Here is a 26,877-nt window from a genome sequence, read left to right on the forward strand (position 1 = left end):
GCACAAATATGATTTAATATAAATGTAGTTAGCATTTATTTATAAAGCAGTACAAATACCAACAAAATATTTGCTATTCATTGTGCACTCATCTTAGACTGTGCTGTATTAAAGCACCTAGTAATTTCCGAACAATATATATTGCTTATTCATATTAATTAATTATTTTATTTATACAATAAATGTTAACTGGTCACCCACTATGAGCTAGGTACTATGCTTATGCTTACACATCCTTAAATACTCAACATATCTCAATATATGTATAATGGTCTATCTGATAATGTCATTCACTAAAAGTTATCTTTGGAATAAGGGATGGGATGAAAAATAAGCATATATAATTCCTTAAACTTACAAGGTAGTTTCCAATGTACAAAGTGCTGTTTTATTTATTAACTTGTGTGATACTTCAAGACTCCTATGACATGGTGAGGCATGGATGATTACCCCTAATTTAAAGATGAGAAAACTGAGATTCAGAGAGGTGAGATGATCTGCACAACAATTCAGGGCTTTTGACTCAGGTTCACATTCTATCCATGTCTTATTCCACAAAAGAAAGGCTTTTATAAGTAGGGTGGGAAGCTCCAGAGTGAATTTTTAAATATGTACACTTAAAATCATACCAGTCCCTTGACCTCCTTCATTAATTCACCTTGGTCATGGTAAGCCATATTCTCTAAATTTTAAGATCCACAAGTGATGTGACGCAAATTTAAAACAAAGTAAATATTCATAGTTTTAAAATACAAAAACAAATATGCTTTTGTCTAGTGTTATGCAACATTTTTTAAAGCCATAATCAATACTTATTCTTTTGATGACATATTTTATTTCTTCCGACAATTAAGACTTCTACTAAGCTAGCGAGAGTTATAATCTGAAGTCAACCTCATATGCCTGTCTTTATTCTCTATGAATTATATTCTTCTATGCCCAGTTAATTTAATCTTTCATTACTCACCTCTCAAAGAATTGTATTTTCTTCGTTGTGAGATTTGCTGACATCCTGGAGTCATCAAAATTATCCTCATAACAATAACTCAATATTGATAAAAGTATATTACATTTAAAGAGAGCAGGGGGTGGTCAAAAAGCCATAAAGAATTATGCTCCTCTACATTTTCAGCTTAGTTCTTTACATTATATGGAAGAATTGTCTAATTAAAATCATTGTAATTTTACTATAATTTACATGTTTATATTGGAAGAATCACATCTCAAAAATCTATTAGCAACCTAACAAAGTAAAGGTAGCCAACACTAGCATGTGTTTTAATCACCTGGATTTTCTCCAACCAGATATGGATAAAAATAGAAGAAATAAGCATATTATCAATTTTCAGGCTATAGTGGAATGTGCTAGAATTATTCTAGAAGCAAACTGGGATGTTAAATATTGGATTAGACTCCATTTATACTAGATCAGGAGATAAAAACAAAATGATGCATATCATTATCTCCCTGTCTCAGAGTTTTTTGGTGAGAAGTAACAGAAAACCATTTTGACTGGCTTAAGTAAAATACGTATTTTAAGTTATGGGGTAGGACACAGAAGCAAGCAAAAGCTAAAATTCCAGACTAAATAAAGGATAGAAGCCCAGGAAACTTTGGGTTCTAGGTAGTAGGAAAGAATCAGTGATGACTGTAAGAGTCAATGCCTAGTTTTGAATCCAGTTTCTCAAAGTTAAATTGTAGCCTTTGGCAAATTACTTTCTCTCTCTGACTCTATTTCCTCATATGAAAAATAGGGATAATAATTGTACCTACATGTTAGGGTTGTTGTAAAACTAAATTAAATATTGCATGCAAAGGCTTTAGAAACATTCTTCATATATAGTAAACATCCAGTGAACGTTAACTATTGTTATTTACTATTATTCTGAAGTGTTTTCCTTCTGATAAATCAACACCAATATTTTTCAGTGTGTGCTACTTTTTTCAAGGTTCAGTAAGAAATGGAGTGACTAAACTTGGGTCACATGACATGAGGAGTGTATTAGTAAATGCTTAATAATTGGCTCTTTGAAAAACATGCTTATTAAAAATTTACTTATATAAAGGATGTGTAACACAGAATTTACAAATAATGACAAATATACAATATTCTTGATTATAAATTCCACACAGCCAAATGCTTTGCAGAAAATGCTTTTGTTGATGTCTGCCAAACATTTGTATCTGTAGCTAACTCATGGTTACAAATTGATGAATGGACTGGTATAGTTCTCACATGAATGTTGGTTGATATTTAATTTATGTTAATGAGTGAAACAATTATAAAAATGAATACATATGTTGAAACATCATTTGTTTGTCAATGATGTGAATGACTTCATTATTGAAACAGATCATAGTTTTTGAATACTGGAAGAATATTTCCTCAATTTTTTTGTGCCATTCACAATGTAATCGCTACAGACTCAATACACTTCAAAATTGAATCTTTAGTATCAACATTTTCTTCTTCACTTTCTATGTCTACACAATGAAGAAAAGTTCTGATTTCTTGAGTTTGCCTATTTCTATAGTGTAAATTGTACCACTGTGTCCAAATTGAAGCTGCCAAAGAGACTGAATACAGATTGGGGCAGAGATGCACTGTCTTTCATCATTATATAGTAGGTCCAGCATATGGTCAAAATAGATTTAAATAACCTCAGGGGCATAGCTAATAGTAAAGTCTAGTAAAAGATTATGAAATAATGAGTTTTGTGTAGTTATTACTTTTATTTTTAATATAACATTATATTTTAGTTCATCTTGTGTAGTTATTACTTTTGTTTTTAATATAACATTATATTTTAGTTCAGATGATTTCAATTTTATTATTGGATATGCTTAACAACCAGCTTGTTATATTCCTTATAATTACATCAGTGCTCTCAAGAGCTGATAAAAGTTACTTCCAGCATACCACTGTATGAGATCTTCTTGGCAAATGAAGGTGGAAGGGTTAGGGACAGCGTAACTTTGATTGAAGTCCCCTCCAGGACCACCCGGAATGGCAGAAAGGTAGTTTTTTGGCTTTTAAAAATTATGGAGAACAGATGGATGCTGTGTAAGCAAAAAAACTAACATGGATTCAAGTCTACTACAGGCCCAGTTTCACGTTTTTTCTCATTCTTCCCCCTGATAATCTACCTGAGAACAATGTAAAACCCATGAGAGAGAGAATCGTGACATAAAGGATACAAGGGAATTGTGATATAAAGGACCTTTGAGCCGGGCGCGGTGGCTCATGCCTGCGATCCCAGCACTTAGGAGGCCGAGGCGGGCAGATCATGAGGTCAGGACTTCGAGACCAGCCTGGCCAACATGGTGAATCCCCATCTCTACTAAAAATGCAAAAATTAGCCAGGTGTGGTGGCGTGTGCCTGTAATCCCAGCTACTCAGGAGGCAGAGACAGGAGAATTGCTTGAACCTGGGAGGCGAAGGTTGCAGTGAGCTGAGATCGTGCCATTACACTCCAGCCTGGGTGACAGAGCAAGACTCCATCTCAAAAAAAAAAAAGACCTTTGAATCGTCAGCTTCAAGAACTACACCTGGGATTAGTAGCTACTCAATACATACTTATTTGAATGAATAAGTAAGTATTCCCCAGTAGAAAGAAAGTCTCAGAGGATAGAATCAGTTGTAAAATTTGAGAGGACACCTATTAGATAAATGGCAACAAGTAGATGGCAGTAAAGGAAGAGAAAGGTTATTTTGGGAAGATTGGTTCAGGGGTCAACAGAGCAGTGAGGGAGCCAGGAGCAGCAAGTCAGAAAATTTGCTTAGAGAAGTTATTTTGGTGGGTTTCAAAGCTCCAGAAAGGAGGGTATGGATCAGCAATAGGACTTCAGTACCTGAAAAAGGGACTAGTGATGACAAGGGAAGATCCCAACCTAACAATGAAAGATAATAGAATGGACACATGGGTAGAAAACAGGACAGATTTCCAATCACTAACACCAAACTTAAAAATAAATCCCAAACTTAATTTTCATTATAGGGCATGTGATAAGATTAGAATTAAGGGTGACTTCAAGTTGAGTCCTAAAATATCAGTTTAGGACTGAAATTTGGATTTTTTTGTTTTCCTGCAAAAGTCAACATTTATACTTAATTGAAAAAAGTGGAGTCAATGATATAGTAAGAAGGACTGGACCCAGAATACAAGAAAGGGACTGCATGCTTCTCTCATTTGATCTTTTAATTTTTAAAGGCAAATACACTTGAGTAATTCTGATCACTGTATTTTATTTTTATCAGTGCTTTCCAATCTTGAATACGAGAAGTACTTTGTAAGTAATATGAAGGAAATTTGAATGAAAATAATTAATGGGACACTCACACGAGATAGAGTTGTTCATCCATTATCAATTAAGAAAAAATAGGTCAGGCATGGTAGCTCACGTCTATAATCCCAGCACTTTGGGAGGCCGAGGTGGGTGGATCGCGAGGTCAGGAGATTGAGACCATCCTGGCTAACACGGTGAAACCCCGTATCTACTAAAAATACAAAAAATTAGCTGGGCATGGTGGTGGGCGCCTGTAGTCCCAGCTACTTGGTAGGCTGAGGCAGGAGAAAGGCGTGAATCTGGGAGGCAGAGCTTGTAGTAAGCCGAGATCGTGCCACTGTACTCCAGCCTGGGTGACAGAGTGAGACTCCACCTCAAAAATAAATAAATAAATAAATAAATAGCAAGTGTTGTTCTGATTATATTAATAATACAAATACATTTTGGAATTTTTATTAGTAATGTTATATATTTACATTTCAAATAGTAGTTCAAATATACTTGAGACACTTAATCTGATTCTTCCACGGATATTTGTTTCCTGGGTTGGGAATGGGCAGTCTTCAATCACATAAAAATGTAACATTAGAAGAAGTATACAGAAAAATATGCAAGAATATTTTCAACTAGGCATCCTACTCATTAGCTTTTGCCAGTTGTTCATCACTTTCTTTTTTCTTTTTTTTCTTTTTTTCCTTGAGATGGAGTCTGACTCCGTTGCCCAGGCTGGAGTGCAGTGGCATGATCTCGGCTCACTGTAAGCTCTGCCTCCCGGGTTCAAGCAATTCTCCTGCCTCAGCCTCCCTGGTAGCTGGGATTACAGGTGCCTGCCATCATGCCTGGCTAATTTTTGTATTTTTAGTAGAGACAGGGTTTTGCCATTTTGGCAATGCTGGTCTCAAACTCCTGACCTCAGGTGATCTGCCCTCTTCAGCATATCAAAGTGTTTGGATTACCGGTGTGAGCCACCACACCTGGCCGTTCATCCACTATGTATTCTAACTGTGGCTTTCCCTCTAAGACTTTCTTTGAGATCTTTCAGTCTCATGGTTTCAAATAACATCTATAGCTGACAATTTGCAAACTTTCACCTCTATCCTTTTAAAAAAGGATATCTGGATTTTATATCCCACTTGATATCCAATCTAACAGGTATTTCAAATGTAACAAAGATAAACTGTTTTTTCTCCTAAACCAGCTCCACCTGTAGCTTTTCCCTTTTACTTGAAAGCAATACTGTGCTAATTATTTATCTGCTGTCTCTTAGCTCTAGCCAACCCTTCTGTATTCTGCCCTTTGATATTTGGGTTAGAACACTGCACATTACAATTCTCAGATTCTTTTTTTTTTCTTTAGTGGATGCCTAAACCTGCTAGCTCACATCCTTTCCTCAGAGGTGTGACCACCAACCATGAAAGATTTCCTCCTTTGAAATTTGAGCACCAGGTCTAGACTGTTTTTACTGCAAGCTCTTAGGTTCTGGTAATACCACAGTTTTTACTTTTCTTTCTGGATGAAAAAAGGATGGTATCTGTCTACATAGTTATTGCTTCTTCATTAATTTTTACTCTTTATGCATTACATATGCAATGCCTGTGTAACAATTCCCCAAATTAAATTCCATTCATTTTAAATAGCTAATACAGATTATATTTTTCTGACTAGACCTTGTCAGTGTAGTCATTCATATCAAGAGTGAGCCTAAGACTTTCAAAAATGGGTTTTGTGGGAGTGGTTTGCTTATTTTTTGGTCTTGCCAGAGCTGAGTTCTTGGACAGTAAAAAATTCATATGCAATTACTTATCTTTTGTGATTGAAACAGATTTTGAAAACAAAATTTGTGGGGAGAGGGCAAGGGGTTGCTGCACTTGATGGCTAACATATCCAAGACTACAAGGACAATGGAGGGAGATGGCAATTGATGACTGCATTGAAGCCAGAAAGAGAAATTACAGCTCACATCATGGTCAGAGAACAAGAGACCGTCTATGGTGAACCTGTAGCACTGGGCAGGTATGGCTAAAACATACCCCAAATTTAATTATGCAAGTTACCTAATTAGAATGTAATCTGAACTTACAGACTCACAAAGTTTCTTATGTGGAAGCTAGGGAATTCACTGAGAAGGAATGGGATCATGAAATTTAAAATGGAGACATTTGGATGCTCTGTGATAAAGTACAGAATCTTAAAACCCGAGTTTTCAGAGTCATTTCTGCCAATTTCTGCCATTCCATTTTTCCTTTCCCTGAAGTCCTAGCAAAAACTTCACCTGAGGCAATTACCTTGCAATGAGGCATTTATTCTCTTCAATATCCACCACCATCACCTTTCATTCTCCACACAGAGCAATCCAATAGAAATCTCAGTGGTGATGGAAATGGTCAATATGGTAGCCACTAGCAATATGTGGCTATTGAGCACTAAAAATAAGGCTAGTTTGAACTGTGATGTGATAAACTTGCTAGATACATTCTAGATTTCAAAGATTAAGAATAAAAGAAGAGATGGTAAATTCTTGCATTAATTTTATGCCAAATGCATGTTGAAATCATAATATCTGTGGTTAAATAAAATATAAAATTAAAATTAATTTCATCTCTTAAAAAATGTGGCTACTGGAAAATTTAAAATTAAAGATGCAGCTCACATTCCATTTGTATCGGCTAGACCAATATCCTTCAAACTCTTGCTCACATAAATAAAAAGATTTTGGAAACTGTACTTTCTCCTACAATTTTACATTGACATCTATTATTTAAAACTCTTAGTGTGAATAGCTGCAAAGGACGCAATTTCTACTCCAATTTCACAAGTATTTTAAATATAGTTTTCTCAAAATCTTGCATCATTAGTTAACTCAATTTATGGAAAATGTGCATGATATTTTATAAATGGAAAAACTGTAAAATCAATCAGACAAATCAGAAACTCTTTCTGTCTAAAAAAGTCAGACTTTGTGTTTTAATTAAAATTGGCCTATAATATCCTAAGTATCATGAGTTCTATATAAGGATAAATAGAGATACAAATAGAGGGATGAAAAAATAGATGGATGGATGAATGACAGATGATAGATGAATGACAATTAGATGATAGATGACAGATAGATAGATATATAACATACATACCTGTATACACAAATAAATACATAGAGAAATAGATGATAGAGACAGAGATGCATAGATGCAGACATGGGCATTTCTATGAGTTTGTTGCTTGGTTAATAGGATATGATTCCCTTCAAATATGTCTTAGCGAAGCTTTTTTTTTTTTTTTTCTTTGTCTCAAGATCTGTCCCTGAGGAGCTATGAATCTGGAATTTCCTATTCTAATTCTCCAGGGTTTTATTTACACTCAAGCAATGTAACATATTTTTATTCCAGTTGGAGAAGTAATATATGATTATCTTTTGAAACTTGGAAAAACAAGTATAAGAGGGAAATTAATAAAGAAGAACAAACAGATTGAGGTATGTCTTCAGTCTTCATTTCACACATGGAGCTAATGTTGAATGTGTACCTTAATGCAAGAAGAACAATTAATTCAAAGACTAGGTATGTTTAAAGTGCTAGTCTAATATTTTAACTTGCTGTTATAAAGAAACCCTCAATTATTTTCATTACTCAAATGCCATAATTAAAGGAAACATTCCCTTACAGAAGCTTGTGGAAGGGGCATAAATGAACATCAAAAATGTATATTAGTTTAGATTATAATGCTCAGTTATTACATTTTATTTTCTGTGAACTTAATTGCAATGTCTGTAAACTGATTAGTAATAATAACTTAATGTTTAATGTTTTAGAATAAGACAGTCACCTATAAATTATTCAACCATATAATGAAATATAGAAGAAAATTATATGTAATGATAATTTTGCTTTAATACATGTTAAGTCCAGTAAATAACAGGAGGGAAGTATGTTTCTGAGGAGATGGCAGCATTTGGCAATAAAAATAGGTGTCACTTAAGGTGAACTTACTTTATATAAGGAGTTTCACATGTTCTTATCTGTGCAACCTTATGATGTGGTATTATGACCTCTACTCTATGAAAAAGAGACTGTGGCTGGGCTCTCATAGTGAGAGTGACAGCCCAGATTGAAACTTGTTTAATTAATTTCATCAAGTTTTAAATCTCAGGTTACTTTTTCCATCAACCATGTACTTTTTAGTACATTTAGAACACCATAATTGCTCAAATATACAGGAAAACATGAACAATAATTACTGAACAAATTATAAATGTAGAGGTATTAATCACCTTGGTTAATTGGGATGTATGCCAACTAGTATAGCTGTATGCTTATTATTTATACCAACAATTTCCTTCTGAAAAGGGTTCCAAGGAGTAATCTAAGAAAGCAAATACTTCTAACAGTGTTTTTAAAACTATGTGCTATAAACTGTTAGGGCATCATGAAATTAATTTAGTGGGACATAATCAATGTTTTAATAATAAACAGATTACATTCGACTAGAATGGAAAATACAGGAGTGCATTCATGTAAGGGAAAATGTTTTATATGTGTGAAACTGTGGTGTGTGTGTGTGTGTCTGTGTGTTTGAACTAGGTCACAAGGTAAAATATAATCCTTATTGTGGCTCATGATGAATAATTCTTGTAAACAAATTTCTGTAAGACATCTTAAAAAAGTTAACCTAACAGATCAAAATTAAGTGTCTACATTTATTAATAAAAAATAGCAAAGAACTGAAAGTAATTATGTCCTCCTAAGAAAATAATTTGCATTTGTTGGAGAAAAAGGAGAAATAAATTTGAGTAGATTAGATAATATAAACAAGTAGAAATGTGACAACCTCTGAAACTTCAGGTAATTCTGTAATAATAATGATTTAAAGTTAGCAAAGCAAACATCTTATTGAACATGAGATAATACCACATGTTGATGACAATTACATGTAATTGCGAAGACAAAACAATATCTCCATCTCAATGCAAGATTAATTAAATGTGTTTATTCCATACTTTATAATGAATTTGCTTCATGTCTATCTTGGAAAAAGATATTTATACCTTACTGTGAGATAAGTCTTTGTACCTACACATATCTCATAAAGTACACACCTCTGACCTTTGCTAACTATGTGATCTTTGACAAGTTATTTATAGGCTTGCTTAAATGCAGACAATAAAAGTATCTCCCTCATGAGAGACTTACAAGGATTAAATAATTCATAAAAAGTGCTAGAAAAAAACTACTGAGAATAGTGTACGGCATGCTGCTAAGTGTTCAACAAATGTCAGTTTTCCAAGCACTTCATGTTTTTTTTTTTCCTCAACAACCAATAATTTGCACAGAGAAATAAACCAATAAATATTTGTTGCATTGAATTGAACTGATGACACAGGTTGGGTGGATAACATGATTTCCTTCATGCAACTGAGGGGTTTGATTTAGAAATTTACCCAAGTTTATAGAGATAATTTGGGGCAGAGTAGGTTTCTGATCTAGTTCTTCTGATTTATAAATCAGGGCTCTTCTATGAGACAAATCTAATAGTCCCTTGGTTGAGTTTTAAACCAACTCTGCTGATCTTAGAATTAGGTTTCAAGAACTTGATAAGTGATCACAAAAATTCCCGGGAGGCAATATATACTTTAATAACAATGAATTAATAATGTATTTCAAGGTCTTATTAGCTTTACTAACAACTGTGTTTGCATTATCTTGCTTATTTCTTATGATACTATAAAATACATGTCTTTATCATTCACATTTCATAGATAAAGAAACAACATCAGAGAGGTTAAATAACTTAAAGTTATCTGAAAATTATACATCAGTATATGAAACACAATCTGAACCAATTTCATGAGCTCGACCACCAAACTTTAAAATCTAGCCCAAAGAAGTTATCACATAATTTGAAGATTTGAGAGAAATGATGATTTTTCCTATTTAGGTCCTCTCTATTGCTATAAAATCACATCTTACAAACAGAAGCAGGATAGCAAGAGCAGGAAAGAAAAAACAGCAAAATTTTCAGCTGCATTTACATTCATTGTGTTATAATTTTGCTTGAGGTATAGTGGCACATACATATTTAGATGTGTTACTCATATTAGAATCAAATAGAAAGGCAATTCAACTTTTTGAAATATCCATAATATAAATTCTTTATTAGTGCAGAGCACATTAAACCAACTATTTCAAATAAATAGCTATGTGATATATAGCAATAGAGAAACATTGAAATTAAAGTCAGCTATGTATAAAAACAGGATTGACCTGAATGATGTGTCAAACAGAAAAGACACAAAAACAGCCACTATTCATGATTCCTTTTAAAAAGGATACACTTACAACCTTCAAAAATGTATCTCAGAAAGCATTCATTTGTAATTTTAACCTTTTGGTTTATATGTTAGTAGCTTGGAGTAGAATTGTATTATTTTTATTTTTTCCCAAATTTCTCATATAAATCTGGTTTATAAACTGTTAAGTAGGGAATATTGCGCCAAAATCCTACTTGAGTTATAAATTTTCCATACTGCATGTTCCGTATTATTTCTTTGCCTTTGTCTTTATGATTATGACTTTTTTTTTAAATCACAGATGGTGTTCTCTTACCTTATTTGTATTCACTGCTGTGATGACCCAGACACATTGTGCATTGCTGTCATACTGGAACGGAAAGTTGGGAGATGTAAAGGTACCACTTGGTCCTTGAAGATTAGAGCCACACGTTTTCACTAAAAGAGAAATTGCATTTTAAAAGATGAACATATGTCACATGTAAAATTACAACAATAAAATATCTTGCAAATAGACTTTACATTCAAAATGACACAATTATAACCACATTGAAATATATATTATGGTATTCTAATGTCACTTATCAAAATACAGTGTTTTTAACACCCTGGGATTCACAAGCTCGATATTTTCAACATTAATGGAAAACACTAGTTATGAATAGAAATTTGAGGGCATGATAAATGCTTCTCTGACTTTAAATAGGTGTGTTTAATTAGAGAAAGGTATATGTACCCAATATTGTGTTAACAAAAATATACAAAGAGAGTGAAACAGAGCCTTGGGTTAATGAAGCAATCTAAGAAGTGTTTTCATTTGTGTTTATTAAGTACCCTAGGACTCACAATAGTGCAGTTGAGAACCATCAATAGAAAAACTTCTCTTTCTGTACTTATAACTATGAATTAAAGAACTCAGACTAAAAAAAAAAGCAGTTACATTTAAGTAATTGTAATGAATTCCCACAAAAGTTGAAAGTTGTAGCATTTTCTCAGTTTTCTAACCCATCTTTCTTCTACTTAATAAATGAGCTAGTGACCATACTGTTTCTGTTTCTTGCTTCTTGATGACCACAAATTTCTGGATGCCACTGCTTTTGATTTGGATATCTTTGCCCCGTTCTATCAAATCCTGCCCATATTATCATTTTCTAATCTGTCAAAAATAATCTATTGTATATTTAAATGATGAACAGTTAAATGTATATTTTCATATGCACTTAAATCTGTACATAGTTATCATCATCACCACTTTGAAAATCAGTTGATGGACCTCCTAAAAGTTTGCTTGACATGGTCAAAGTCATGCTTCTAGTATACAGTAGTCAGAATTTCAGCCCAGGTCTTCTGATTCAAGTCTTGTTTTTTACATCACTAAAAGTGTGTCTTTCTTGTATGTTACATGTAGATTTCTTTATTAGTTTCTTCTCTTAATAGCATAAATCTATTTCAGACAACTTTCCTGCAACTTGATGGTTATATCTTGTGTTGATTTAATAGTTACAGTACTTTTAATTATCTTGTGAGTGTGTGTGTATAATTTCTGTATTTTAACCAATAAAATCATATTATTTTGTATAGAAAAAATAATAAATTGTATTTTTCTTCCCTTACCATTATTTGCAATTCAATCTTTTTTCCCCATTTACTACTTAACTTCTTGTAAATACTCTATGCTCACTACTCCATTTTTCTCTCCCCTTTCACTCTTCAAAATATTTCAGTCTGATTCTCATTCTCATTTCAGTGTTTAAATTGCTTTTTCAAAGCCAGCAATGAACTCATAATTGCTAAATGTAGTATCTCTTCATTTTTCCACATATTTGATATCTCAGCAGTAATGCAAAATATTGATAATATTGATTAGCTTTGTTTGAAATTCTCTGCCTTCCCTTACATAGTATTAAGCTCTCCTGATTATTCGCATGTGTTTTAAATAGTTCTGCTCTACCATATTATTTGTTCTTGTTTTATTTTTCCCATCTGACCCTTAAGTAGCATAATTCTAAATTGACTTAACCTTCTCTTTTCTATTTGTTCAATGGTTTCTCTGAATAGTTAAACTAATTCATTTCTATGACTGGAAAGGACATTTCTGTGTTGATAGCTCTCAAATCTACATCACCAGCTTTGGCATCTCTCCTGATTTCTAGACTAATTTTCTGTCCGCTGGACATTCCATTAGATGCTTTGAGGAAGCACTTTCAATTAAATATTTCTTGAATAGACTATCCAGATCCTCGCCTTGCATAATATATACTCCTCGAGGTCTATTCTGTTTTCCTCTGTGGAAACATCTCTGTTTTGCTTCATTTCTTCTCTTCCCAGTGTCCAGTGCTTCTTCCTCATTTTTCTTGTACTGATAATAGCTACTGAACCCCTTTTCTAGACTCCAACTTCTCTATTACATCCTCCTCACTGCTACTATATTTATCTTTCTAAAACACAGATTTAATTACATTACCTAACTGCATGAAAGCTTGGTATCTATTTCCGATGGAATAAAGTACAAATTCCTAATAGGGAGTATAAAATTATTCCTGTGAGGACCTAAATTTATTTTCTAGTACAATGACCTGCCATTTTACATAGTCATACACTTTACTTGTGCCAGAACAGACATCTTGCTCTTCTTTGATTTACCATACTCTTTATAATTTTCTATATTTTTCATGCTGTTTTCTAGGTCTAGAATATTATTCCTTCTTACATTTACTTGCAGATATTCTATTTACTTAAACAAAGCCAAGGTGATGTGCCACTTCTTTCCATAAGAAGGGTTTCTAATTCTTCCACTAAGGATTCTGTAATGGATTATACATTTCATAGCACATTATTTGAACAGCACATTTATACAAGTGTTTAGGTGCTAGTGGCCTGATAAGGAATGTAGCGTGAAAGAGTCTAAGACCTTTATAGAAATGAGAAATTTATAGCAATCACAAAGCAATTGGTTTGTAGTGGCTATAGCTTTCTGATTGAATATACTCCTTCTCTGAGTGGTACTTAATACTTCGTAATTCTCTGGCATCCTTTGTTTTCTAAACTATATACACACTTAGAATCTTTTGAAGTCAAGGCCTTGTTTATCATCTTTGTTAACTCATAGTACAATGGCTTTCATGATGTAGGTACGTTTGCTAAAGAAACAAATATCCAAGTTCTTTCGCACAGCTCTTAAATTAACTATAAAATAGTGCTCTCTTCATGCTGATGAAGAATCTTCATAAATATGTTTCACAGTGAAAAACTGTCTTCTATGAAAATGATTTTCTTTTTCTATAAGAATAAGGCAAAAACATTTATAAAACGGCAAGTAACAATCACCTGTAAATATTTTGGTCTGTTTATCTGCTTCCATCCAAACCTGACAGTAACCACTTAACAAGTTGTATATCTACAGACATTTTTGTTTTGTGGCACTATGAGTTTTTGCATATTTCTTGTTTTCTTAATGTATTTGTGTGTTTTAACAAACATAGCTAATTCTATAATATTAGTCTGAAGATTTTTTTGCATATATCATGACGACTGTTCTAGGTCAGTACATATAGGTTTTTTTCTTTTGCAGATTTAGCAGTATGAACAGAAGCTGATAGAACTACTGGACGTTTTTGACAGGCTTCCACTATGAGAATAGCACAGGATGATTAGGAGGTTTCCTTAATCCTGCAGTGGGAAATAAGAAGACATGTAGAACAGACCTGCTATTTGAACAGAGTTGCAGCAGTTCACACATAGCAACACAAATACAGTGAAGATCTTGGTACATTTATGTATTATGTTTTATAGTTGAAAAAATAAAAACAAATTCATTATTATGGAAAGCCAAACTGCAAAATCTCAGTGGCTTACAACAATGAGTAATTTTCTCTTCAATTCCATTGTATTTGTGCTTTATACTTGTGTTATTATTGTAGGATTAATTCTTAGAAGAAATATTAATTAGTTACAATATGTGAGCATTTAAAACTTTGATAAATATACCTAAATTACTCTCCAAAAGTTTGTTCAGTATACTCCCAAAAATAATATTAAAAAGAGAACAGTTCCCCAGGCTGTCGCCAAAATAATAGTATCAATCATTATGCTTTTGTCATTCTGTCAGGAATGTCACTGTTTTAATTTCCAATTCTTTCTCTACATTTTTAGTATGCTTTAACAGAAGTATTTATTGTTGTCTCTATTTTTTGCTCTGACTTTTCTCTTTGTACACTTTTCCTCATTTCAATTTTTTCTTGCTGATCTATAGAAACTTCCTGGGTGTTACTAATATTAACCCTTTTATATGTGCTACAAATACTTTCTTACAGACTTTTGTTGTTTTCGATTTTGCTTTGAATTAACTTTTCTCTGTAAACATAAAAATATGTGTAAATCTGTCAGTGTCTTCTTTTAGATCTTGTATTTTATATCTCACTCAAGAAAGATTTTCTTCAAATCTAAGATTGAAATACAACCTTTATTTCTCATTCTTTAATAGTTTTATTATATTATAATTAAACTTCTTCTACAAATTGGTTTCATATGGGGCAAGGTAAAGGAGCATTTATAGTAAATTCTATATTATTCGTCATGAACTGAAAATACCATTTATATTATATTTATATAGACCGTACATAAATGTATAAGAAACCCATATATGTATCTGAGCCTTTTTCTTAATATTGACCTACTGATCTATGATTATTCTTTTGCCAGTACCATACTGTTTTAATCATTTTTTACATAGATGACACACATCTCTCCATTCTTATTCAATTTCATAATTTCTTTATTATCCATTATTATTTATATTTCCACAAACTTTAGTTGTGTCCATTTGTCAAAGTAAAGGAGATTGGTGTCTGTATTCAATTTTATTGAGTTCAAACATTATTTTGATACAAATTTGCCTCTTCAATGGAGCCTTTAGTAACACAAAGGAAATAAATAAACGTGATTACAGTAAAGTAGTACATTTGAGAAATTCAGCTGAAATTTCCTAGTATATAAGAATTCCATGCCTACAGTCTCAGAAAAATAGAAATAGTAGAAAAAGAAAAAAAACCTTGTAAATAAACCAATGAATGTATGAAATCAAAGCAAGTATTGGGTTATAAATTAAATATGACAACTTTGGTCATTAAAGATTAGAACAAAATGTGGATCCCCACACTAGTGATACCATTCAATATTGTCTTAGAGGTTCCAGGCAGGGCAAAAAAATAAAAAAAATTTGAAGAGTTACATAATTTGAATAAGAAACACATGTCATTATTTACATGCAATATAATTTTTGTCTTACATTCAAGAGATATAATAATTTATCTAACACAATATGCTGTATTATTTTCAAGATTCCTATATTTTGGTTTTAAAATATATAACTCATATAAAAATGTATAGGTTTCTTTCTTTTTTTTGTTTTTGTTTTGTTGTTGTTGTTGTTGTTGTTTTAGACGGAGTCTCACTCTGTTACCCAGGCTGGAGTGCAGTGGCATGATCTCGGCTCATTGCAACCTCCACCTCCCAGGTTCAAGCGATTCTCCTGCCTCAGTCTTCCAAGTATCTGGAATTACAGGTGCCCGCCACCATGCCCGGTTCATTTTTTTGTACTTTTAGTAGAGATGAGGTTTCACCATGTTGGCCAGGCTGGTCTTGAACTCCTGACCTCAAGTGATCAGCCCGCCTCAGCCTCCGGAAATGCTGGGATTACAGGCGTGAGCCACCGTGCCCGGCTGTATAGGTTTCTTTTATAACAAAAATAGTTAGCAATTCAAATGGAAAGGTCCAATTTATACAAGCAGCAGGAATTATATATAATTTTAAAAAATATATTTAGCAAAAGACATATAAGACAGAAGTCTTATAAAGGTAACTACTAAAAAAACAATGAAGGGGCATTAAATAAAACTTGTAGAAACGGAAAGATAGGGCATGTTCTGAATGGGACAGCTTATTATCATAAAAATGCTAACATCCTGATTTGAGCAGTTTATAATGAACTAATAGGTTAGCTAATATTTATGCGTTTCCTATATTTATGATTATCTTAACTTTTAGTGCTTTAGACAGAGTTGATATTTTATAAAATATTTTGCTTATTTCATTCACATGCCACCTGTGTTTTTATAAAGGAAGATTAAAAGGGCTACCCTATACATTTTACAGTCCTGTTTGTGGAATAAAATGAACCAATACCTGCAGAGACCTTGCAAAATACTGCTAACATCGATAGAAGTACAGAAGCAGAAGCCAAAAGATTTATTCCTAGCTTGTCTACCAATGTATTCCTATTTTTTCCTCAGGTAAAACACATACAGTTAACCATGCTTTGGAAAATGCCTAGGAATAATGTTAAGTACAGTGAAATATGTTTAGCTTTAACTGTAACCTTCAGGCATTTAGATTTGTGCCAGATACAATGTTTCAACTACACAAGTAAGACAGGCTGACATTTTATTTTTTGGCTGAGTAAGGACATGATTCACAGGTTAAGGATTCTTTTTTGCACAGAATATATCAACTGAGATCTGTCTATTGTTGTCTCTCGGTCCACTGTGCCCTGAAGTACCTTTTTCACTCTCTCCTGGAATTTTCCTTCTTGAATTTTTCCATCATGATTTTTAAAATAAATTGAAGGACTTTTGTAATCTTACTCCAACAGATTCTTAGAATTTGTAAATTCTGTAAAGCTCTTTCCACTAACTTACTTGTAATTCCTTAAACACAGTGAAAATGTTCACACTTTAAGACCCTAGCACTTTCTATTTTTCTCACCTGGCATAAGTTTCTACTCAAACAGTATTCCATACAAGGCCTATTCTGCTTAATATCTCTAAACTTTAGTTTCTTAAGTATTACCTTTACATACCCCACACACACACACACACACACACACACACACACACACACACAGACCATTGTTTATTGTCTGTTTTCCTCATTAGAATGTCACATTGATGAAAGCAAGAACTTGGTTTTGTTTATCATGGAATCTCCAGCACATAAAATTGTGCCTGCCACATGGAAGACACTCAATGAATGAATGAGTGAGCAAATGATTAAAATACTTAGAGTCACAACAAAGATTTGGTTTTGTTTATCATTTATGTCTTCCAATTTTTTTCCCCTTTGGGCTTTGGTAGCAATTCAAGCTTCTACCTTTTGGTGAATGTAGAATGTGGTAATTAATCCACAAAGGATTCATTAACATTGTGTGAACAAGCACGTCCTACTGCCTGCTGTTCTAAGGCTATGTATTAGGGTTGTTGAAAGATTTCTGGTAAGGAACATTTTGTTGATGGTATGAGGAGTATGATAGCATATGTCATTAAAGGAGTTATTAGTATGAAGTTTGTGGTTCATTTTTCATCTTTAGGATGAAGTTTGTAGTTCTTGTATCTTCAAATCTTCAACTATCCCTGCATCTTCATATTTCCACTTGAGCAAATTCAAATCACCTAGATCTCAGCTTTTTTTAACTTGTAAACTTAGATAGTTGTGCTATGTCACCCATAAGCTCTGATAAGCCTAATATGATAATATGATTACATCATGCAGCTATCTATGTGCTCTGAATGGCTTTCCCAAGAGATGCAATGAAGTTGATAGAGCCTGAAAGTTATATTCTTGCCCATTGAGGCCTTTACTATATCAGAGTAATGTTATTATTATTATTTAAACTGTTTGCTGACATATGTGACATGGAAAATAATGAATCCGCTAGAAGAATCAAGTTTGATTCAAATGTATTTGCGGCATTTCCCTTTCTGTGGTTGTTCACCTGAGAGTTAGTTAAGTGTTGTAGTCTTGCCCCTAGTAGAAGTAATTACATTTCTATCTATCTTTACAGTGGCTTCTTTGTTTATTAGCCAGGCATAAGGATGAATAATCATAGTGTCAGAGACTAACTTGATATTCTCTGAAAGTAACTTGGTATTGACAACAGCATAAACTATAATTCTTCTGCTGCACATGATGTGATAGACAAAACAGGCCATATTATTTTTTACTTAATAGTTTCTATCGCTTCTAGAAATTCTAACTTGTACTTGGGAAAATTAGATATTCTAATAAGATGTAACTATGTAACAATGAGTGAGTATGTACAGCTCAAATCTTGTGAAGTGCAAGTCAGGATAGCCCAGACGAAGAGAGATGTACCAACAAAGGACTTACTTATTTAAATGTTTCTCATTGGGCTGTGTTAGGCAAGACAATAAATATTCTTAGGGGCAAATATGAAATCACTGGAAATGGATAAATGTTGGTACCTAAAGATGGACAACTTTCAGCAGACAATGAGATTCGGATGTTGAGAGAAATGGTGTGACTATATCTCAGCAAGAAAAGGGAACTATCCCTGACTTCACAGAAGTAGGCCAAGGCAAGTGCTACCCACATGTTTCAGGTACCTTTCTAATCTTTCTTTGCTCAACCATCATCATTGGTATTTGAATTTTATTCTTACCATCCATTCTTTGAAACAAGGCTGATAGTTTGAGTTTCTGTCATGGCATATCATTCCCCTCAAATAGCCAAAACAATCTTGAGAAAGAACAGAGTTGGGGGCATCACACTCCCTGATTTCAAACTTCGTTCATGCGTTGCTTAATGATGGAGGTACATTCTGAGAAACGTGTTGTGAGGCAATTTTGTCATTATTAAACATCATAGAGTGTGCTTACTACACAAATCTAGATTGTGTAGCCTACTACAAATCTAGATTGTGTAGCCTACTACACTATGGTATAGCCTATTGCTTCTAATCTATATACCTTTTCAGCATGTTACTCTACTGGATACACTGTATACAATAAAATGCAGACAATTAGAACACAATGATACTTGTGTATCTAAACATATCTAAACAAAGAAAAGGTAAAAATATCATACAAAAAAATTAAAAATGGTACACCTGTATAGGGGCACTTACCATGAATAGAGTTTGCAGGATTGGAAGTTGCTCAAGGTAAGTCAGAGAGTGAGGAGTGAATGTGAAGGCCCAAGGTGTTACCATACACTAATGCAGACTTCATAGATATAACTATAAATTGTTTTTTAAAAATTGTTACTTAAATAGTGAATTAACCTTAGCTTACTGTAACTTTTTTACTTTATAAACTCCACAATTTTTTAAACTTTTGACACTTATAACAACACTTAGCTTAAAATGCAAACACATTGCACAGCCATACATCATTATTTTATTTCTTCATATGCTTATTCTATATGCTTTTTTCTATTTTTACTTTTATTTTTTACTCTTTATAATTTATTTAAAACTAAGACACAAACACACACATTAGCCTAGGTCTACACAGGGTCAGGATCATCAGTAGCACTGTCTTTTTTCTCCACATCTTGTCCCACGGACAGATCCTCAGGGGTAATAATACACATGGAGCTGTCATTTTCTAGATGACAGTGCCTTCTCCTAGAATACCTCTTGAAAGACCTGTCTAAGGCTGTTTTACTGCTAAAAGAGTACACTTTCTTTTTAAGCAGAAAGAGTACACTCCAAAATGATGATAAAAAGTATGGTGTAGTAAATACTTAAACCACTAACATAGTTGTTTATTATCATAATAAAATATTGTGTAGTGTACATAATTGTATGTGCCATACTTTTATATGAGTGGTGCAGCAGTTGGTTTGTTTACACCAGTATCACCAAAAACACATGAGTAACATGTTGTATTAAGATGTGACAATGGCTACAATGTCACTAGGTGATATAAATTTTTCGGCTTCATTATAATTTTATGGGACCAAGATTGTATATGTTACACATGACTGTATATGCAAAGCTACAGTAATCATAACAGTATGGTACTGGCATAAAAACAGACAGATAGATAATGAAACAGAACAGAAAGTCCAGCAGTAAACCCATAAATATATAGTCAACTAACCTGTGACAGGGTCACCAAAAATACAAAATGGGGGAAAGAATAGTCTCTTCAACAAGTGGTGTTGAGAAAATTGAATATCCACTTGCAAAATAATGAAATTGGGCCCTTGTCTTATACCTTATACAAAAATTAGCTTGAAATGGATTAAAGACTTAAATGTAGGATATGAATCCATACAGGTCCTAGAAGAAAACAGGAAAAAAATCTCCTTGACATTCATCTTGGCAATGATTTTTTTGAATATGACAACAAAAGCATAGGCAACAAAAGGAAAAATAAACAAGTGAGTCTATTATCATGATATTGATAGGAGGAGAGAGTGGGGATTTTGGTGGATTCATTTTAATTATTTATTTTCTCTCATGGAGGAAAAAATCTGGCTCCTGGGACTGAGTGAACACCAGAAGAGGAAAATGACAGAGCAGTGACAGTGTGCTTAGCTATTAAATTTTAAAATGTGAATTTATTTTGTATTCCAACCTACTGGCATAAGCACATTATCTGTGTTTATAAGAAAAATTCTGTTGGTTGAATGAGAGGATTAGACATATTATAATTGTATAAACTTCAATAAGCATCTAGCACTGAAAACTCTATATCTATGTCATAAACTGAGAGTAAGCAGTTATATCACAGGAATCTATGACCCCAAAATAAAATTAATGTTTTTATTATTTATTGATCAAATATTATTTCTGGGTATGAAAACAAATACAATCTCATAGTTAAAACTTTGTTTGCAGTGTGGTGTTTCCTCAAGGATCTAGAATGAAATACCATTTGACCCAGCCATCCCATTACTGGGTATATACCCAAAGGATTATAAATCATCCTACTATAAAGACACTTGCACAGGTGTGTTTACTGCAGCACTATTTGCAATAGCAAAGACTTGGAACCAACCCAAATGCCCATCAATGATAGACTGGATAAAGAAAATGTTGCAAATATATACCATGGAATACTATGCAGCCATAAAAAGGAATGAATTCTTGTCCTTTGCAGGGACATGGATGAAGCTGGAAGCCATAATTCTCAGCAAACTAACACAGAAACAGAAAATCAAACACCACATGTTCTCACTCATAAGTGGAAGTTGAACAATGAGAACACATGGACACAGGGAAGGGAACATTGCACACCCGGGCCTGTTGGGGTGGGGGACAAGGGGAGGGAGAGCATTAGGACAAATACATAATGTATGCAGGGCTTAAAATCTGGATGACAGGTTGATAGGTGCAGCAAACCACCATGGCACATGTATAACTATGTAACAAACCTGCACGTTCTGCATATGTATCCCAGAACTTAAAAATTTTAAAAATTTGTTTAGAAAAATATTAAATCAATTATTTGCCTTTTCAATTATTTATTTATAAACCTTTATTTTAGGTTCAGGGTACATGCGGCAAACATTTACATGGGTAAACTTGTGTCATGGAGGCCAACAATCACATGAAAAAAAAAACTCAACATCAGTAATCATTAGAGAATTGCAAATCAAAACCACAATGAGACACCATCTCACGTCAGTCAGAATGGCTATTTTTTTTTTTTTTGAGACGGGGTCTCTCTTTGTTGCCCAGGCTGGAGTGCAGTGGCTCGATCTCGGCTCACTGCAAGCTCCACCTCCCGGGTTCACGCCATTTTCCTGCCTCAGCCTCCCGAGTAGCTGGGACTACAGGTGCCTGCCACCACATCCGGCTAATTTTTTGCATTTTTTTTTTTTTAGTAGAGACGGGGTTTCACAGTGTTAGCCAGGATGGTCTCGATCTTCTGACCTTGTGATCCACCCACCTCGGCCTCCCAAAGTGCTGGGATTACAGGCGTGAGCCACTGCGCCCGGCCCAGAATGGCTATTTTTAAAAAGTAAAAATAATGAGATAAAAAATTTCACCAAACAAAATGACTATTAGATAATATGTTTTTAATTCATTTGTGAAGGCTGAGTGCTGGATAGTTTTTATTCTGAAAAATCACGAATCACACAAATATTAAATTAATCCATATTCTGTTTGAAACACTATGCTGGGTGGAGGTGGAAAGATTAATAAGACAATCAAAGTCGTTGCCCTAGAGAGATTATATTCTAGAAAAAAAAAGAAATACTAAACTAGCAGATAAATCTGGTTTTACAAGATGCAATGGGAGTAAGTAATAGATTACAAAAGGCTATTCTTAGGAACTGATGGAGAAAAGGAATTGTTTTACTTACATATTTTATTTCCATCTCCCCCCACCACTCCCCAGTAATTTCGGAGTTTTTCTCCTGCAGCTCATGTAGAAATGAAGAACAAACTCATTTTAGCCAAATCAAGGTACAAGGTGTCCATTTCCATGGTAACATTTGATAGGATCTCATCTTTTAAAATGAATACGTGATTATTACCATTAAACATGGTTGAGTTGAAATGCTTTAGGGATGTGCTAAGGAAAAGCATCCCCAAGTTGGCAGATGTATACTCTTTGAATGTAAAACAATGTGCTGATGAAATACTGACTGTGAGAAAATGAAATGGCTCAGGATAGTAAATAATTTTTCAGAAATTATAGAAGATACAAAGCCTATATTAACTTGAACAGAAAATAAGTATTTCCAAAGTTTTAAAAAATGTTTTCCAAATACTTCTAATAAATTAGTAACCTAGGAAGAAAGAAAATACCCAACAATTGAAAAGCATTTGAGGCTTAATCTTCAATGAAGATCATAAAAGATATGCTGTAAAAAACGGTTAAAACTTGGAAGAAATATATTATAAAAAAGGGAAATGGAAAAATAGGAAAAGTGAGAAGACCAGCACTGGAAGTTAGAGCGCTGTTGTTTTCATGGACGTGCATAGCAATTGTAGAGAAAAAGTGAATTTAAAAAGAAAGGAAAGAAAGTGCAAACAACCTCATAACAGATTATTTCACACACACAGAAAAAAAACTCCATTAAATAAGAGACAGAGTTTTGTGTTGAGTGTCAAGATTTTAGTCTTTCTACACAATATTTGGTGTATACTTTCAATGATTATGTTCAAACATACCTTCTCTTCCTTTTTGGGAGGAAAACTCTTAATAGTGTATGGGAAGGAAAGTTATACCCAAAGTTATGTTTACTACATTATGGTGAAATGAAATCCTACACTGTAGTTTCCTCCATAACAATTTAACCACAAAAATAAGGATTTAAGTAACGTATATAAATGTGCAACATTTTTCATGTGTCAGAATTCATTTTATTCTTATTTTCCTTTAATTTTAAAATATAGTGTATGATATAATCCACTGGAAAAATACTGAATTATTGATCTATCAAAGACCTGTTATTAAACTATAGATAATAGGAGTAGGCACTGTTCTCTGAATCAATTAGAATTCTCAGATTCTTGACAGTTGGTCATGAAATATACAAACACAAGTATCTGAAGGTGAATGATAAAACCTATTTAAATCAGCATCTGGAACTATCAATAAGTAGTTCAGTTCAATAACATTTAACTGAACATCCCAGTCTCTACATCTTCATGAGAAACTAATAAACTGTCAAAAGTGCAGTTACAATTAGGACTAATCTTCAAATACATCTGAGTGTCATCTGCATAAGAATGGGAGTCTAATCCATGTCTGCACTAAAAGAAAGCATATAAATGTAGACTAATAATGAAATGCACCCGAAGTAGGGAACTCGAAAACAGAAAAAAGATGCTGTCGAAAGGAAAAGAATTAAAATCAGCAAGAAGCAGACTGCACAGAATCAGATAAATTTGATAAAAATGCAGCAAATGCAATTCCTATGAAAGACGAGAAATATAATGTACAGATTTTTCAAGGTAAAAAAAAGTAAGCAAATTCATTTTTTTCTAGTTCTTTGTTGTTTAAAATTTATCTTAGCCACGAAAGTCATGTTTATCTACAGCGCTGCCTCCCTTTGCTCCTTGTTTCTCTGAATCATCCCATTAGTATTAAGGATGAAAAGATACATGGTATTAAGTCACCAATAAAAATAAGTCATGTGAATTACTTATTTATTATGCTTTTCATAAAAATAAAAACAAATCCAACCTAGCCTATTTTTCCCAGTAAGAAAATAAGACATATTAAGAGGTGAGATAGAATGATATAAATTATTATGCACAATTTATATAGAAAGCCTAGCATTCTCAAGGTCATCCAGGAGGGAAGGAGTGTGGAAGAGAGATGAGAAGTAAGAACAGAAAGAATTAAGAAGATGATCTGACTAAGAAGATGATGTGTAGTGAAGAAGCCAGACAAAAACCTCAGACAACAAATTCTACAAAAGATTCAGTTTCAAGTTATTTACCACCTTTGATGTGGACTGCCCTCATCCTTTCCCAAATTATCCAGGAAATTAACTGAGCCAGTTCTGATCTGCAAATTTACAAACTGTTTTTTTGTTTGTTTAGATGAAGTTGGAACAATGTCTACTTGAATTTATGTTGAATGGACATAATCCAAAAAAATCATAAAGCAGGAATTTGCAGCTAGAACTAACCATTAAACATTAAGTCTCCACCTAATGGCACAAGAAATTAACTGAAATTTTGGAAGATTTTAGACCTCCCCAAAATTTAAAATTGGATGTTAGATTAACTGATCTACACCTGAAAAGGCAGGAAACCCTGGTTAATAATTTGTAATTTCATAATGCACTTCCAAAAGTTACTTCCATAGCTTTTCACATGTTATTTCCTTCATCAGAAATATTGTCTTTTATTTCTTAATCTTTTAGCTAAAATCCATTCTTCCAAATCCTTACTTCTATTAGTGCACATATATTATATTTTAATTATCTGCTTACCTCTGAGCTCCTTTATGTCAGCAACTACATTTTGCATCTTCTAATGACAAGAAGTCAGCTTAAGGTATAATATCTACCAAATGCTCAACAAATGTTTTTAAATTTTTAATAAATAATTAAGTAAAATTAAATATACCATTTCTTCTAGATTTTCTAGTTTATTTGTGTAGAGGATTTTATAGTATTCTCTGATGGTAGTTTGTATTTCTGTGGGATCAGTGGTGATACCCCCTTTATCATTTTTTATTCTGTCTATTTGATTCTTCTCTCTTTTCTTCTTTATTATTCTGGCTAGCAGACTATTTTGTTAATCTTTTCATAAAACCAGCTCCTGGATTCACTGATTTTTTTTGAAGGGTTTTTCATATCTCTATCTCCTTCAGTTCTGCTGTGATCTTAGTTATTTCTTGTCGTCTGCTAGTTTGAATTTGTTTGCTCTTGCTTCTCTAGTTCTTTTAATTGTGATGTTAGGGTGTCGATTTTAGATCTTTCCTGCTTTGTCCTGTGGGCATTTAGTGCTATAAATTTCCCTTTAAACATTGCTTTAGCTGTGTCTCAGAGATTCTGGTATGTTGTGTCTTTGTTTTCATTGGTTTCAAAGAACTTATTTATTTCTGCCTTAATTTTGTTATTTACCCAGTAGTCATTTAGGAGCAGGTTGTTCAGTTTCCATGTAGTTGTGCAGTTTTGAGTGAGTTTCTTAATCCCGACTTCTAATTTGATTGCACTGTGGTATGAGAGACTGTTTGTTATGATTTCCGTTCTTTTACATTTGATGAGGAGTGTTTTACTTCCAATTATGTGGTCAATTTTAAAATAAGTGTGATGTGCTGAGAAGAATGTATTTTCTGTTTATTTGGGGTGGAGAATTCTGTAGATGTCTATTAGGTCCGCTTGGTTCAGAGCTGAGTTCAAGTCCTGAGTATCCTTGTTAATTTTCTGTCTCATTAATCTAATATTGGCAGTGGAGTGTTAAAGTCTTCCACTATTATTGTGTGGGCGTCTAAGTTTTTGTAGGGTCTCTAAGAACTTGTTTTATGAATCTGAGTTCTCCTGTATTGGGTGCATATATATTTAGGATAGTCAGCTCTTCCTGTTACATTGATCCCTTTACCATTATGTAATGTCCTTCTTTGTCTTTTTTGATCTTTGTTGGTTTAAAGTCTGTTTTATCAGAGGCTAGGATTGCAACCCCTGCTTTTTTATTTATTTATTCATTTTTGCTTTTTATTTGCTTGGTAAATATTCCTCCATCCCTTTATGTTGAGCCTATGTATATCTTTGCACTTGAGATGAGTCTCCTGAATACAGCACACCAATGGGTCTTGACTCTTTATCCAATCTGCCAGTCTGTGTCTTTTAATTGGGGCACTCAGCCAGTTTACATTTAAGGTTAATATTGTTATGTGTTAATTTGAACCTGCCATTATGATGCTAGCTGGTTATTTTGTTCATTAGTTGATGCAGTTTCTTCATAGTGTCGATGGACTTCACAGTTTGGTATGTTTTTGCAGTGGCTGGTACTGGTTTTTCCTTTCCACATTTAGTCCTTCCTTCAGGAGCTCTTGTAAATCAGGCCTCATGGTGACAAAATCTCTCAGAAT

The 26,877-nt window shown here is 33.4% G+C and overlaps 1 protein-coding gene across 9 annotated transcripts in view; it reads right to left on the bottom strand.

Annotated features, from left to right (window-relative positions):
* CSMD3 (CUB and Sushi multiple domains 3) overlaps positions 1-26,877 on the bottom strand; it is a 1,214,012-nt gene that overhangs the window by 625,331 nt on the left and 561,804 nt on the right. For all 9 annotated transcript variants that reach the window (NM_001363185.1, XM_017013010.2, NM_052900.3 and 6 more), the window contains one exon: positions 10,887-11,008. In NM_001363185.1, coding sequence (NP_001350114.1) covers positions 10,887-11,008 — 122 coding nt within the window. The remainder of the gene's footprint in view (positions 1-10,886; positions 11,009-26,877) is intronic.

Source organism: Homo sapiens, chromosome 8 (genome assembly GCF_000001405.40).
Source record: "Homo sapiens chromosome 8, GRCh38.p14 Primary Assembly".
NCBI lineage: Eukaryota > Metazoa > Chordata > Mammalia > Primates > Hominidae > Homo > Homo sapiens.